The sequence below is a fragment of the Homo sapiens genome, chromosome 21 (genome assembly GCF_000001405.40).
Source record: "Homo sapiens chromosome 21, GRCh38.p14 Primary Assembly".
Classification (NCBI taxonomy): domain Eukaryota; kingdom Metazoa; phylum Chordata; class Mammalia; order Primates; family Hominidae; genus Homo; species Homo sapiens.
The window spans coordinates 42024921-42040531 of NC_000021.9; the positions used below are offsets into that span (position 1 = coordinate 42024921).

Sequence of the window (15611 nt, forward strand, 5' to 3'; positions counted from 1 at the left end):
TAAACATGGCTTGTTTGTCAGGGTTCTCTAGAGAAACAGCAGCAACTGTGTGTGTGTGTGTGTGTGTGTGTGTGTGTGTGTGTGTGTGCGCGCAGAGAGAAAGAAGGAGGGAGGAAGACATAAGGAATCAGCTCATGCAATTGTGCAGCCTGGCATGTCCACAGTCTGTAGGATGGGCCGGCACGCTGGAGACCCAGGAAAGAGCTGCAGTTTGAATAGGAAGGCCATGGGCGGGAGAGTTCCTTCCTGTTCAGGGGACCTCAGTCTTTCTCTAGAAGACCTTTGGCTGACCGGATGAGGCTCATCCACGCTATGGACACAAATCAGCTTTACTCAAAGTCTACTGATTTAAACGTTAATCTCATCTACAAAAAGTACCTTCACAAAAACATCTAGAACAACGTTTGACCAAATATCTGGGTACTGTGGCTTAGCCAGGTTGATACATCAAATTAACCGTCACCTTTTGCTTAATCTACTTTTTAATTTGCTTTTACTTTGAAAACAAGTAAAGTTTTTGTAAGCCTCCAAGTTGAGATTAACGATGTGAGAAGGAGAATCCATAAACTTTCCTGTTGAACAAATAGCAGATGGATTTTTTCAGGAGGTGGGGACCACACAGGGCTGGCCTGCTCTGACGTGGCAGCCGCAGAGGGGTGGCATCAGCAGCAGACAGTCTCATGTCCTCAGCCCTGCCGACGTCCAGATCACTGTGGAGTGTAGCTATTACTCATGCCTTTTTCTTTGATCTTTGCCTTTTTCCTTATTATTTTTTTTCCTTGCTGAAGATAAAAATAAAATGGAAGTAATGATAAAACCACAGTTCATAACCTAAAGTGCCACAAGGATTAATGACAAATTGGTGCCCTGGACATGTTCGTCACACAGCCAATGTCCCCGCTGTGCCAGATCCATTTTGAACGTAAGCTGGACTGTCTCACCCTGACAGAGTTTTCCAGTCCTCTTCCTCCCAGGTTCTCAGTGTGGCCAGTCCAGACATCTGCCTTGCACCACTGCCTCCTGGTGACCCCTCCTCACGGGACAGCTGGACACAACCTGCCTGACTCGCCCTCAGACCCCACACCCCACATGGACTGTGCAGACCTATGCCCCAGTGACCCTTCAGTCACAGTGTGACCCCACGGAGCTCTTGCCTGCTTGCTCCAGACCCACCGATTAGAACTCCCGTGGTAAACCTGCTTGGCTAACTCCTTGGTCCCCATAAAGGTGTTGGCCCCTGGGTCTCCCTATCTTTCCCCCTGCCCGATGGTTGAGTGTGCATGTCCCCAGTGGCTCCCCACTCCCGTCAGCCCTGCGAGGTGGGCTGCCCTCTCCTCTCGCGGCCCTGGGAGACATCAGCTGCTTCTGAGCTCATGAGCTCTGCAGCACCGCCTCCTGTGTCTCAGCCCAGCTCGCTCCTGGTCAGGGCTAGAATTTACAGCCACTCTCAAGAGAGACCTCAGGCCAAATTAGAAAAAAATTAATATTTACAAAACAGCATGTGTGTATGTGTGTGTGGGGTGTGTGTGTGGAGGGCTGTGTGGTGTGTATGTGTGTACATGTGTATGTGTGTGGGGTGTGGTGTGTATGTGTCTGTGGTGTGGGGTATGTGTGTGGGGTGGAATGCGTATATGTGTATGTGTACATACATATACACGTTTAAAGGTCAAGCTGTTCTTTAATCAACCAGAAAGCGTAGGACACACATATTTCTTAGTTTTTTCCAAACTGAGATAGAGAAAGGAAGATGTTTTTAAGTATGTATAAATTCGTATTCATTTTATGAAGAGAGAAGGAAAGGCCCGCTCTGCCAGTGCCCCATTACAGCCCATACACCCTGCAGGTGGCTGGGGCATGAGAAGCGTTGAGTTGCCTCTGGGTGACAGGGGGCCTAGAGCCCTTGCATCTTGGCTGTGTGTGTAGTGTAGGGTGTGTGGGGTGCGCGTATGTGTGGTGTGTGTATGTGTGTGTGGCGTGTGTGTGTGTTGTGTGTGTGCTATATGTTTGTGTGGGAAATGGGTGTGTGTGTGTAGGGTGTGTGTGTGGTGTGGAGTGTGTATGTGTGTGTGGGTATGTATGTGTGATGTGTGTATGGTGTGGGGTGTGTGTGGTGTAGGGTGTGTGTGTGGTGTGGGGTGTGTGTGTGTGGTGTGTGTGTAGGGTGTGTGTGTGTTGTGTGGTGTGTGTGTAGGGTGTGTATATATGGTGTGGGGTGTGTGTGGGGTGTGTGTGTGTATGTGTGGTGTGTGTGTGGTGTGTGGGTGTGTGTGGTGTGTGGTGCGTTCATGTGTATGTGTGGTGCATGTGTGTGAGGTGTGGTGTGTGTGGGTGTGTGATGTGGGGTGTGTCTGTGGTGTGTGTGTGTGTGGTGTGTGTGGTGTGTGTGTGGTGTGTGTGTAGGGTGTGTGTGTTGTGTGGGTTGTGTTGTGTGGGGTGTGTGTGCGGTATATGTGTGTGTATGTGTGGCATGTGTGTGGTTTTATTTGTGTGTGTGGTGTGTGTGTGTGGTGTGGGGTGTGTGTGTGGTGTGGAGTGTGTGGTTGTGGTGTGTGTGTAGGGTGTGTGTGTTGTGTGGGGTGTGTGTGTGTGGCATCTGTGTGGTTTTTTTGTGTGTGTGATGTGTGGTGTGTGTGTGTGGTGTGGGGGGTGTGTGTGGTGTATTTAGGGTGTGTGTGTTGTGTGGGGTGTGTTATGCGGGGGGTGTGGGGTTATATGTCTGTGTATGTGTGGCGTGTGTGTGGTTTTGTGTGTGCGATTATGGTGTGTGCATGTGTGTTTGTGGTGTGTGTGTGGTGTGATGTGGCATATGTTGTGTGTTGTGTGGTGTGTGTGGGGGGGGTGTGTCACACGTATATTGGAATCTGAACCAGGTGCTGTTTGTCATCACTCTGCCTCTGTACTTTGCTGAAGCAGCCCACATGGACGATGGGGCCCTTCCCAGTGCTGCAGAGTCTTGAGCTAAGAGTTTACGTATTCCAAGACAACGCACATGGGACATGGGACTTCCTCCCCCGTGCTCCTCCTGTCCTCCGCCTCCTTGATGAGCTGGACGTGCGGGGAGACCCCAGACCTGGCGCATGGCTGGTTTTGCTCTGTGCCTGCACAGACCGGAGATGCCCTTGGTGACGCCGTCTGCTCCTCCCGTGCTTTCAGACACAGTGAGCGCCCTGTACCCAAGTGTGTGTCACGCAGGGGTGCTGGGGTCCCTTTCGTCTCTATTCCCCATTAAACATCTTTCACCATTTTAACATGCAGGCATTTAGAAACTCTTTTTTCATATAATAATTGTCTGAGCTCAGAAAAGCCAGCAGCGTTACTCACTGTCACCGAAGTCCAGATGGTATTTTTATTCTGTGCTCAAATTGGCTTCCTCATTTCTTTCCAGGCCCTGTAAGCAGCTTAAAATTTCCATTTTCCAGGTCAAGCTGTTCTTTAATCAACCAGAAAGCGTAGGACACACATATTTCTTAGTTTTTTCCAAACTGAGATAGAGAAAGGAAGATGTTTTTAAATACGTATAAATTCATATTTGTTTTATGAGGAGGGAAGGAAAGGCCCGCTCTGCCAGTGCCCCATTACAGCCCATACACCCTGCAGGTGGCTGGGGCATGAGAAGCGTTGGGTTGCCTCTGGGTGACAGGGGGCCTAGAGCCCTTGCATCTTGGCTGTGACCGTGGCCTTCGATCGAGCACAGTGGGTGAGGGCCTTCTGAATAAGAAGGGCACCGCCACACCCTGTGGGGCCGATGAGCAAGTCAGTTCCTCTAATACAAACTCTGCATTCCTTGTGGCTCCCCAAAAAGGTCAGAGGACTTAGGAGATGGAGAGGAACCAGGAGGTCTTCTAGTTCAACTTGCTCACTTTTCAGATGCAGAGTTCAGTTCACCGAGGCTGGGGCAGCATCAGGATCAGAACCCAGACCCTTTGACCCCAGGGCTCTTTGCCCGCAGCATAGGGAGGCTGGAGAGGGCCCTCTGCCTGTCCCCAGTCTTGGGAAAGTCCTTCTCTGTGCGGCGGTGAAATACTCAAAGAGAGGTGAAGGCGGGGCCTCTCTGGGAAGGTGACCTGGGGTAAGGAGCCTGGGTTGCAAGTCTCTGGGAGTCAGTGGGACCCTGCTGTGCCCTTGGCTTTTCCTCTATGGCCCTTCTCTAGCTCAGGAACTCTACTATGCTGTTCCTGGTGCCACCTGTCCCAGAGGTTGTGAGCCAGTACCGTGTTCTCTGCCCTCAAATATGACTTCCATCTGTTTCCTCCTCAGTATTTACAATGCAGACAGAGATTGCCTGATTCTGTGTTGCCGCCCTTCCACTCTAGGCTGCCTGGGTCAGCTGCGTGTCTGTTTCTGTAGATTTGGAGGGGCCTCATCCTGGGCTGGCTTTGCATAACGAGAACAAACAAGAGCTGTCCAAACTGCTGTGGAACCAACTTTCCTTTCCTTGAGAGGAAGCTGGAATTCAAGGTGCTGAGTGAACCTACTTCCAGACAGGTGGTCCTAAATGGGAAGTGTTGCATGGATCTCAGAAAATGACAGTCCCTAAAATAAGTCCATTTGTTTTTCCAAAATCACCAAAAACCTGGGAGTGGAACGCAGTCACCTTTGAGACACAGCTTGACAGTGACTGTGGCCTTTGATTGAGCACAGTGAGGGACAGACTTTTGATTAAGAAGGGCACCACCACACCCTACAAGGCTGATGGGCAAGTCAGTTCCTCTAAGGCAAACTCTCCTTTCCTTGTGGCTCGAAAAAAGCCGGAGGACTTTGGAGATGGAGAAGAACCAGGAGGTCTTCTAGGTCAATTTGCTCACTTTTCAGATGCAGAGCTTAGCTCACCGAGGCTGGGGCAGCATCAGGATCAGAACTCAGACCCTTTGACCCCAGACAGGTAGTCCTGAGATTATTATAAGCTCCGTTTATTACAACTTCTGGGAGCCAATCATTTGAAGCAGAAGGTAATGTTTCCTGCTCTGGTGAAATGAAGACTAGTTGAAGAAACAGTTTGCAGAAATATTGAAGTGTAGCTCCATTCAGCTCTGTCTTAAATAGTGTTTGTGGCAGCAGTCAGGCCTTGAGGGGTGTTAAGGGCTGAATTGCATCCACCCCAAACTCATATGTTAAAGTCCGAACCCCCAATACCTCCTGATGTGACTCTATTTGGAGGTAGAGTCTTTAAGTGAGTGAATAAATCAGATTCACTAGTGTGGGCCCTAATTCAATCTGACTGTGCCCTTATCGAAAGAGGAGATGAGGACACAGACACTCACAGAGGGACGGCCACGTAAGGACACGGAGAAGTCACCATCTGCAAGCCAAGGAGAGAGGCCTCCTGGGGAACCAACCCTGCCGATGCCTTGATCTTGGACTTCCAGCCCCCAGAACTGTTATGAAATAAATGTCTGTCATTTAAAGCCACCCAGTCTGTGGTATCTTGTTATGGAAGCCCTAGTAAATTGATGCAAGGGACAAGGCAGTCAGAAGTGGCATTCGACTTCCAATTAGAAGTCTTACAAATGCTGTAGGCTCCAAGCCCAGGGTCAAGGTGGGAGGCTGTGTGCACTCGGGAAGTGCTAAATAAACGCCTGGTCACTACTGATTGGTCCACACATGGGGCCGTGGGTGCAGAAACTGCTGTTGTTTTTAGCAACACCCTCATAGACCTAGGAAACAATGCCATCATCACCAACTACAACTCTGCCTCTCTTCACATGTTAACTTTGTAAATAGAGGAAGATAACTTTGATAATGATGGCCTATAAGGACTTTCTTTTGAACAGGATAAATCTCTGTGGCAGAGATCACTGGTTGCCACCCCCACATCCACCCTCCACCTTCCCTTCCTTCTTAGCAACAGAACTCTGCTTTATCTGGAGTGTTTAATGTGCCCAGCTAAAAGACCACTTTTCCCAGCCTCTTGTTCCTTTTGGCCCTCATATGATGTTCTGCCAAAAATATGTCCACGGAAATGTGCTGTGGGGATTCTGGGAAGTCTTCGTCAAGGGGAGGGGATATTTCTCTTGGATCCCTCTGCTTCTTTCCCTCTGTTGCCTGGAATATGTATGTCATAGCTGGTGCTCCAGCAGCCATATTGTTCCTTGAGTTGCCTCTGAGAAGGGAAGCCACATGTGGTAGAACACAAAACCAGGAGCAGCCTGGGAGTCTGGTGGCTTCCATATTTTCCCTGAAACACCTGCTTTCACACTCGTTTTATGTATGAGAATGAAACCTTTCTGTGTTTAAGCCACCACAGTAAGAGCTTTGCTACATCCAGCTGAGCATAATCCTAACATTTTCTGTGGTTCAAGATGAATGAAGGCATCTTAGTCCAAAGAGGTTAAAAAAAGTACCTGAGTGTACATTTGGTGACTAGAAACGCCTCCCTCTTTTCTGGCCCTGAAGGGATGTGAGAACCTCTGGGTTACATGAATCTGGTGCACTCAGATACATGGTGTGTCCTTCTTGTTCCCAGATTGACGACTCTGCTTTCTCTTGGTCCGTGATGGAAGAGGAAGCCCGAACGCACGCCTCTATCAGCAACTCTGCAGCACCGCACTTGCCACTCGGAGAAAATGCTTTGAAAGCCCAGACAGCCACATACCATTAGAAACAGGTAAGAGGGCTGCAGCTGGCAAAGACAATGCGTAGCTTTTTCCTTTCTTTTCACTTGTGTTTTCTTTTCTTGGCTTTAGCTTGATCTTAATCCATGTTAGCATTTCCATGTGTTTTCTCTGTAAAAGGAGCGACTTTGGAGCTTTGCAGATTGGAAAAATAAGTAGGGTGAAGGAAGGGTGAGACCTGGGTGAGCCCAGACCCGGGGGTCCAGGATCCAGGCCCTCAGCATGGACTGCCCATCCCCCAGGCAGGTACAAGCCCGGGGTTGGGGATTGGGTTCATGGAAGAGACCCTGAAGACACCCTGGAGAAGCAGCTGTGTGGTGCCTGGCAGCCACAGTGCAGAGACAAACTGCAGGAAACAATGGGGAACCTGGCCCAGTTACAAATGGGATCCGTGGGCACAAACAAGGGCAGAGCCCAGCAAGGAGGCAGCGAGCACTCTGGAAATAGCATTGTTGGCTGATTGAAGGTGTTTGTGGTTGAACCAGGTGGCCTATTTCAAAATAGCAACCTGACCAGGCGCAACTGGGCTCTCCTTCTTTCCTTACAGATGTTGTGAGGACCTAGAGGCGGGGCCAATCCAGTCACTTCCAGAGGCTGCTCTGGTCCATGCCCCAAGGGCAGGAGTTTAAGAGGTGGTCCCAGGAGGCAGTCCTTGGTCTCAGTCTGGCCTTTTGGGGTCCCTGCACTGGCTGAGGCTCAACACTGCAGGGGAAGGCTGACTCCATCTCCAGCCATCCTGGAATTTCCCTTCATATGCAGCCCATGACAAGCTGGACCCCACAACTCTCTGGAGTTCTGGCCCATGTTGGAGGTGCCACGCTGTCCTCAGAGGGGCTCAGACAGAGGAGCCTGCCTTTGAGGGAAGCAGGTACAAGCCCACCTCATTGCAGCCTCTTCTCTGCTGCTGTGTTTTTACCTACACTGCTCCAGACTTGGCCTTTGAAAGCTCATGTTGAAACATAGAGTTCCATGAACCATGAGATGTCACTGGTTACAGAGTTTGTTTTTTTTTTGTTTTTTTTTGAGACAGAATTTTCCCTCTTGTCACCCAGGCTAGAGTGCAGTGGTGCAATCTCGGCTCACTGCAACCTCCACCTCCCAGGTTCAAGTGATTCTCCTGCCTCAGCCTCCCAAGTAGCTGGGATTATAGGCATGTGCCACCACGCCTGGCTAATTTTTGTATTTTTAGTAGAAACGGGGTTTCACCATGTTGGCCAGGCTAGTCTCGAACTCCTAACCTCAGGTCATCTGCCCACCTTGGCCTCCCGAAGTGCTGGGATTACAGGTGTGAGTCACCGTGCCCGGCCAGGTTGCAGAGTTTTAAAAATTTTTAAAATTATATGCCCAGGTTATCATTGGTCCACTGAGCATTCTCTTGAACAAGGATGAAGACCCAGAAACCCCTCTGCCCTGCAGAAGGCCCCCTCTGGCCCAAGGTCTGTCTCATCTTGGCTTTAGATCAGGGTTCCCCTGGGAGCTTTCCAAAAGCCCAGTGCCAGGCCGCACCCCAGGCCACTCTGGTCCGTTCTCCTGGGGAGGGTGTGGGTGCTCCCCACCATCCCAGTGTTTGCCGGGGCTGAGGGTTGTTGCCAGATGTGGACACAGGGCACAGCCAGGGGCAGGTGGGTGCTGGAGCAAGGCCCTGCTGTCAGCTCAGGAAGCCTGACCTTTTGAGGGGCCCAGCCTTGCCAAGGGCAAGTGAGCTTCAGCCTCTGAAACTCAGGTTGCTGTGGCTCAGGCTGCAGTTAGAGACCTGGGCAAGCATGGGTCTTCACTGATTAGCAGCCTTGGGCACATCCTTGCTCTGAGCTATAGGGCCCTCCTGTGTACCCAGGGATGACAGCAGCCCCTTGCAGGCTCACTGTAAAGGTGGAGGCAAGAGCACTGGGGACCTTGCACAGTACTGGACCCACACTGCCCTGAGTCTCTTCCACTTGAACAATATGCACACTCAGATCTGGACGCTCCCTAGGCTGGCCTCCTCCTTTATCTGCTGATCTTCTGACAGACTTCCCTAGCTCCTAAAGTATGTTTTCTCCTTCTTCTTCAAGAGATTTTTGGCCGGGTGCGGTGCCTTGCGCCTGTAATCCCAGCACTTTGGGAGGCTGAGGCAGGTGGATCACCTGAGGTCAGGAGTTTGAGACCAACCTGACCAACATGACAAAACCCCGTCTTTACTAAAAATACAAAAATTAGCTGGGCATGGCGGCAGGTGCCTGTAATGGCAGTTACTCAGGAGGCTGAGGCAGGAGAGTCGCTTGAACCCCGGAGGTGGAGGTTGCAGCGAGCCAAGATCGCGCCACTGCACTCCACACTGGGTGACAGATCGAGACTCTGTCTCAAAAAATAAATAAATAAAATAAAAAAAGAGATTTTCACTATTTTCTCTGTCCAGTTCCTTTGGGAGCTGTTAGCCTGTCAGGGAAGGTCGCTGCCTTTCCCCATGTACTGTGGTTTGCTTATATTAGAGACCAGCAGGTGCCTGTGGTTTTTTCCTTCTCTGCTTTTTTTTTTTTTTTTTTTTTTTTTGAGATGGAGTCTGGCTCTGTTGCCCAGGCTGGAGTGCAGTGGCGTGATCTCAGCTCACTGCAAGCTCCACCTCCTGGGTTCACGCCATTCTTCTGCCTCAGCCTCCTGAGTAGCTGGGACTACAGGTGCCCACCCCCACACCTGGCTAATTTTTTTGTATTTTTAGTACGGACGGGGTTTCACTGTGTTAGCCAGGATGGTCTCGATCTCCTGACCTTGTGACCGCCCACCTCGGCCTCCCAAAGTGCTGGGATTACAGGTGTGAGGCACCATGCCCGGCCCCTTCTCTGCTTTTTTCCCCTTCCACTGACATTTCACATTTCCTCAACCTGGCCTTTCTGCTTTCTTTAGGTCCTTCCCCCACTCTATGCTCTGTCCAGGTGAAGTTGTGGGTTAATTATAATAATAACCCTCTGTTTTGTCGCTATTTCCTCCCAGGGTGTTCTCTAATCAGCAGAACTTTTCTTCCTCTGGTTCTAAACCTTGGGCTAATCTGACCATGGTTTTCTGAGTGGTTTGGTCTGTGGACACTGAAATCCCCTCTTGCTTGGCTGGGTCAGTTCACTGAGTACCCTGCCCATGGTTCCCTCTTGTCCTCCTAACCCCAGGGGGCCTTTGACGGCCCAGGCAGACAAGTCAATGCAGCGTGTGCTGGTGTGTGCATGTATGTGTGACGCGTATGCACGTGCATGCATCATAGTCTGTAATTTACACATAGCGAGTTGCTTCTCCCCTTCCGCTGGTCGTTGTTTCCTTCATTCCCTTGGGCCTGATGTTGCACAGTTGCTTGGTGGAATTCCCGCTCATTTCCCAGTGAGAGAGCAGAAGAAGTAATCAATTGATCTCCGTGGGATTTGGTCTAAGTGAAGAAAGCACAAGTGAGAATTTTACATCACCCTTTGGGGAAAGGTTTTGGTCCAAGAATTTTATAATGACCGTGTTTGGGTGTGGATATTGTGCCCAGCAATGGGAAAACATGATGTTTTGATGAGGGGTTACGAAAACTGATTGTTGGATGTGTAGACACTAGCATTCATGAATTGCCAGATTCCATGGTACGGTGACAGAAGGACCTTACCATCTTGGTTTAAGTGAAACACAGTGTATTAGTTCATTTTCACATTGCTGATAAAGACATACCTGAGGCTGAGCAATTTACAAAAGAAAGGGGTTTCACTAGACTGACAGTTCCACGTGGCTGAGGAGGCTTCATAATCATGGCAGAAGGCAAGGAGGAGCAAGTCATATCTTACGTGGTTGGTGGCAGCAAAGCGAGAGCTTGTGCAGAGAAACTCCCATTTTTAAAACCGTCAGGGCTGGGGGCGGTGGCTCACACCTGTAATCCTAGCACTTTGGGAGGCCAAGGTGGGCAGATTGCCTGAGCTCAGGAGTTCAAGACCAGCCTGGGCAACATGGTGAAACCCTGTCTCTATTAAAAGTGCAAAAGTTAGCTGGGTGTGGTGGCACACATTTATAATTCCAGCTACTCAGGAGGCTGAGGCATGAGAATCACTTGAACCTGGGAGGCAGAGGTTGCAGTGAGCTGAGATGGCACCAGTGCACTCCAGCCTGGTTGACAGAGCGAGAATTTTTCTCAAGAGTTCGAGACCAGCCTGGCCAACATGGTGAAACCCCATCTCTACTAAAAAATACCAAAAATTATCTGGGCATGTTGGCACACATCTGTAATCCCAACTACTGGGGAGGCTGAGGCACAAGAATCACTTGGACCTGGGAGGTGGAGGTTGGAGTGAGCTGAGATAGTGCCACTTCACTCCAACCTGGGCAACAGAGTGAGACTCTGTCTCAATACAATAAAATAAAACCATCAGATCTTGTGAGACTCATTCACTATCAGGAGAACAGCACAGGAAAGACCTGCCCCCATGATTCAATCATCTCCCACTGGGTTGCTTCCACAACATGTGGGAATTATGGGAGCTACAAGATGAGATTTGGGTGGGGACACAGAGCCAAACCATATCACATAGTCACGGGGCTGTGGAGGCCCAGGGTGGCTGCCTTCAACCCCACCGGGGCTGCTAGACACCCTCCTCCAGGATTTGAACTGATGCCCAGCACGATCGGGGGCAGGACCTGGGTGCAGCTTCCCCCACTCTTGTGCACGTCCTTAGATAGTATGTGAAGCAAGGCGCTAGCCACAGGCTCCAAGAGTTGAGAGTGCTGGGGTGCCTCATCAGGAACTGTGGTGCCCCTGCAGCTCCTTTCTAGGAAGGCAGAGAAGGCACTCATGTCAGCACCTTTCAGCTGGTGTCAGGTCAGACAAAGGCACTGTCTCCACTGCAAACAAACACAATTCTTTTTTGATGAATCAGAAGTCAAGAAACCAGGCCTGCAACACAGTAGTGAAGAGGTAGAAACAATCCAAAAGTCCAATAACAGATGCATGGGTAGGCAAAATGCAGGACGTCCATAGAGTGAAATAGTATTCAGCCATGAAAAGGAATGGAGTACAGGTACATGCTACAGCATGGGTGAACCTTGGAAAAATTGTGCTAACGGCAAAAGAAACTATCATCAGAGTAAACAGACAACCTACAGAATGGAAGAAAATTTTTGCAAGCTACCCATCTGACAAAAGTCAAATATCCATAATCTAGAAGGAACTTAAGCAAACTTACAAGAAAAAAACAAACAACCCCATCAAAAAGTGGGCAAAGGATATGAACAGACACCTCTCAAAAGAAGACATTTATGTAGCAAACAAACATATGAAAAACAACTCATCATCACTGGTCATTAGAGAGATGCAAATTGAAACCACAATGAGATACCATCTCATGCCAGTTAGAATGGTGATTATTAAAAAGTTAGGAAACAACAGGTGCTGGCGAGGCTGTGGAGAAATAGGAACACTTTTACACTGTTGGTGGGAATGTAAATTAGTTCAACCATTGTGGAAAACAGTGTGGAGATTTCTCAAGGATCTAGAACCAGAAATATCATTTGACCCAGCAATTCCATTACTGGGTATATACTCAAAGGATTATAAATCATTCTACTATAAAGACACATGCACACATATGTTTATGGCAGCACTATTTACAATAGCAAAGACTTGGAACCAACCCAAATGCCCATTAATGATAGACTGGATAAAGAAAATGTGGCACATATACACCACGGAATACTATATAGCCATAAAAAAGAATGAGTTCATGTCCTTTGCAGGGACATGGATGAAGGTGGAAGCCATCTTTCTCAGCAAATCAGCACAGGAACAGAAAACCAGACACCGCATATTCTCACTCATAAATGGGAGTTGAACAATGAGAACACGTGGGCACAGGAGGGGAACATCACACACTGGGGCCTGTTGTAAGGTGGGGGGAAGGGGAGGGAGAGCATTAGGACAAATACCTAATGCATGTGGGGCTTAAAACCTAGATGACAGGTTGATAGGTGCAGCAAACCACCATGTCACATGTATACCTATGTAACAAACCTGCATGTTCTGCACTCGTAACCCGGAACTTTAAGTAAAATAAAAAAAATTAAATTAAAAAAGAAAAGAAAATATTGGGCTAAGTAAAAGAAACAGATACAGAAGACCCAAAATTGTATGGCTCAATTTACATGACACGTCCAGAATATGCAAATTCGTGGAAACAGAAAGCAGATAAGTGGTTGCTTAGGGCGCAGGGTGAAAAGGAGATTAGGAGGATTGAGGAAGTGACAGCTAAAGGGGCTTCTTTTTGGGGGTGATGAAAATGTTATAAAATGGACGGCGGGGATGGTCACACAACTCCATGCTAAAAAGTGAATTGTACACTTTAAATGGGTGAATTGAATAGCATGTGCGGTATATCGCAATAAAGCCATTACAACAGAAAGAATCAAGGAACAAACAAAAGTGGCAGGGTTGGGAGGACGGGTCTGGAGGTAGCAGGGAGGGTCACAGTCCCCAGGGCCCAACTGGGAGCTCTCCTGTTCCCCGGAAGACATGCTGCCACGGCCCCTCCCACCAGTTGTCACTTAATCTCAGGAAGAGTCTGCCACAAATGCCCCGTTGCGACGGCTCTTCCCAGCAGAAGGGGAGAAAAAGAGGCCCGAGTCCCCGGGAGCTGATCAAAGGTCTGAGCTGTGCTGGCAGTGACCATTGTGCAACTGAACAAATGCGTGGCAGGAATATAAACAGACTCCACCTTTCAGCATCGAGCTTGGTTAGGAACATGGCTTGACAGCCAGCTTCGTCTTCCTAAGCCGATGTTAAACTCCATCCATCACTTTCATTCTTTGCATGAATCTTGTTCTTTCTATTTGGAGCCATGTACTCTGGGTCTTAGAGAATGGAAACAGGCCCGAAAGCCTGTCAGATGCACTTAGGATAAATGAGAAGTCATTCCTTTCGCCATGGCGTTAGGAAGATGACGGTGACCCTGCCGGTAGAGATGGCCTTCCAGAGTGTATTGCCTGAATCCTGCCTATATCCAAGCTGGTGAACCCTGGCTGCCTGCCGGCTGAATGATGGGGTCGTTCTCAATTCCACCCAGCTCCTAGCTTGCTGTTCTTTTCCTTCCCATTGGCCTGTGGCTCTCCCTTCCTTGGGTCCCCGGCCCCTGCCCTCAGCCCCACAATCCCGGAGCTGCATTCAAGCCCCTCACGGCCTTCTACACTCTGACGTCTTGAGAACAAGCACACAAATGACTGTTCATTCTGTGGTAGACTGAATAAAGGCCCCCCAAGATGTCTGCATCCTCATCCCCAGATATGTGACCCCAGAAGGCAAAGGCACTTGGGAGAGGTGACTAAGTGAAGGATCTTGAGCTGGAGAGATTTTCCTGGATATCCAGGTGGGCCCCAAATGTCATCACAAGGGTCCAAGCAGGGAAAGAAGGAGGGCAGGAGGGTCATTGAAGGAAGTGGAGATCAGAGCTGGAGAGAAGTTTGAAGAGGCTGGCTGCCCTCTGGCCTTGAAGATGGAGGAGGGGCCACGAGCCAAGGGATGCAGGCAGCGTCTAGGAGCCAAAAAAGCAGGAAATGGATCCTCCCCTGAAACTCCAAAAGGAACACGGCGCTGCTGACACCTTGATTTTAGACTTCTGACATCGGGAACTGCAGGGTAACATGTTATTCTGCCTGGGCTGCTGTAACAAAACACCATAGACTGGGCAGTTTATAAACAACAGATGTTCATTTCTCACAGTTCTGGAGGCTGGGAAGTCTGAGATCAAGGCGCTGGCAGATTTAATGTCTGGCGAGGGCCACTTCCTGGTTTATAGCTGGCATCTTCTCACTGTGTCCCCACATGGTGGAGGGGGTGAAAAGTCTCTTTCTAGGGTCCCTTTTATAAGGGCATTAATGCCGTTCATGAGAGCCTCATCCCTATGAACTAATCACCTCCCAAAGGCTCCATCTCCTAATACCAGCACCTTGGGGGTTAAGATTTCAACACGTGAATTTGGGTGGGACACACTCAGTCTGTAGCAGGTAATAAGCATATGTCCTGCAAGCCCTTGAGCTTGTGTGCTTTGTTACAGCAGTGACGGGAAACTGACACATGGGTTTTACCCTTGGCAAAGGCAGGGAAACAGGCAAGGTTTCACAAGAAAGGAAGCTGTAAGATCCCGAAAGTCACTAGTTCTGGAGGACACTGTCCTTCCCACAGTATCAACAGACCCAGGTCTGTTTTCCACGGTTCTTCTCTGACTCTCTGGTTGAAACTTATCCAGGGAGTTTCCCAATTCTTGTGTGTGTGGGGGGGTCATCTTGCCCAACCCTGGCCAGGTTGGAGCTTGGGCCAGGTGCCCTGGGCTGGCTGCAGGGCGGCTGCTGGGGGTGTCCTGGCCACTAGTTCTGATGGAGCTCCAGCCTCTCCTCACCTGTCATGAGCAGGTGAGGAGACCTGCCCACATGACCTGCCCCTCCCCATCCTGAGACGCTGGATGCCCACGTTTTCTTTTTGCCGCCATTTCGGAGTCTGCTGGGGAGGAGGGCGAATGCCGTGGCCCCCCTTGTCAGGCGGCCCTGCTTATCTCTGCAAGTTGTCTCTGGATGTCTCACAGGAGCCTTCACAACTCCAGGCCCTGGAGGTTGGCCGAGCCCTTGAAACTTCCCCAGCAGCCCTGGGGCCTCATTGCTGGGTTTCAGCCTGCCGCACTGTTCCCTGGGGCTCTGGCGCTGAGAGGCCCCTCCCTCTGAGGGGCTCAGTTGCTTGGAGTCTGTTCAGCAGCTGGAAGAGGAGGCGGTGCTTCTTCACTGAGGCTCTCTGCCTCACGTGCTTTGCCATCTATGTTCTGAGTTGATGTCTTGACAAAGACCCCCTCCTTGGTCGTGAGTGACAGAGCAGGGGCCAAGCTCCCTGTGTCTGGTGACCTTGAGCCCCTTCTGCCATGCCCAGCGGGCTTCTGTCCCTTTTGCTTCCAAGTCCCTGTTTTCCACGATGGTAGCTTTGAGCTCTCCACTCCTTTGAAACCCCGACCCTAATGATGCCGGAGGGAGCCCTCCATG

At 49.9% G+C, this 15611-nt stretch overlaps 2 annotated features.

The window, feature by feature from the left end:
- Positions 6962 to 7011: an enhancer, noted in NCBI's record as "active region_18498". NCBI's record gives its function as "activates an Ori minimal core promoter by ATAC-STARR-seq in GM12878 lymphoblastoid cells {active_cell/tissue: GM12878}" and the evidence as "EXISTENCE:reporter gene assay evidence [ECO:0000049][PMID:35858748]".
- Positions 15072 to 15575: an enhancer, noted in NCBI's record as "H3K4me1 hESC enhancer chr21:43460101-43460604 (GRCh37/hg19 assembly coordinates)". NCBI's record gives its function as "activates a minimal SCP1, AML or CMV promoter by ChIP-STARR-seq in naive H9 embryonic stem cells {active_cell/tissue: H9 hESC(naive)}" and the evidence as "EXISTENCE:reporter gene assay evidence [ECO:0000049][PMID:30033119]".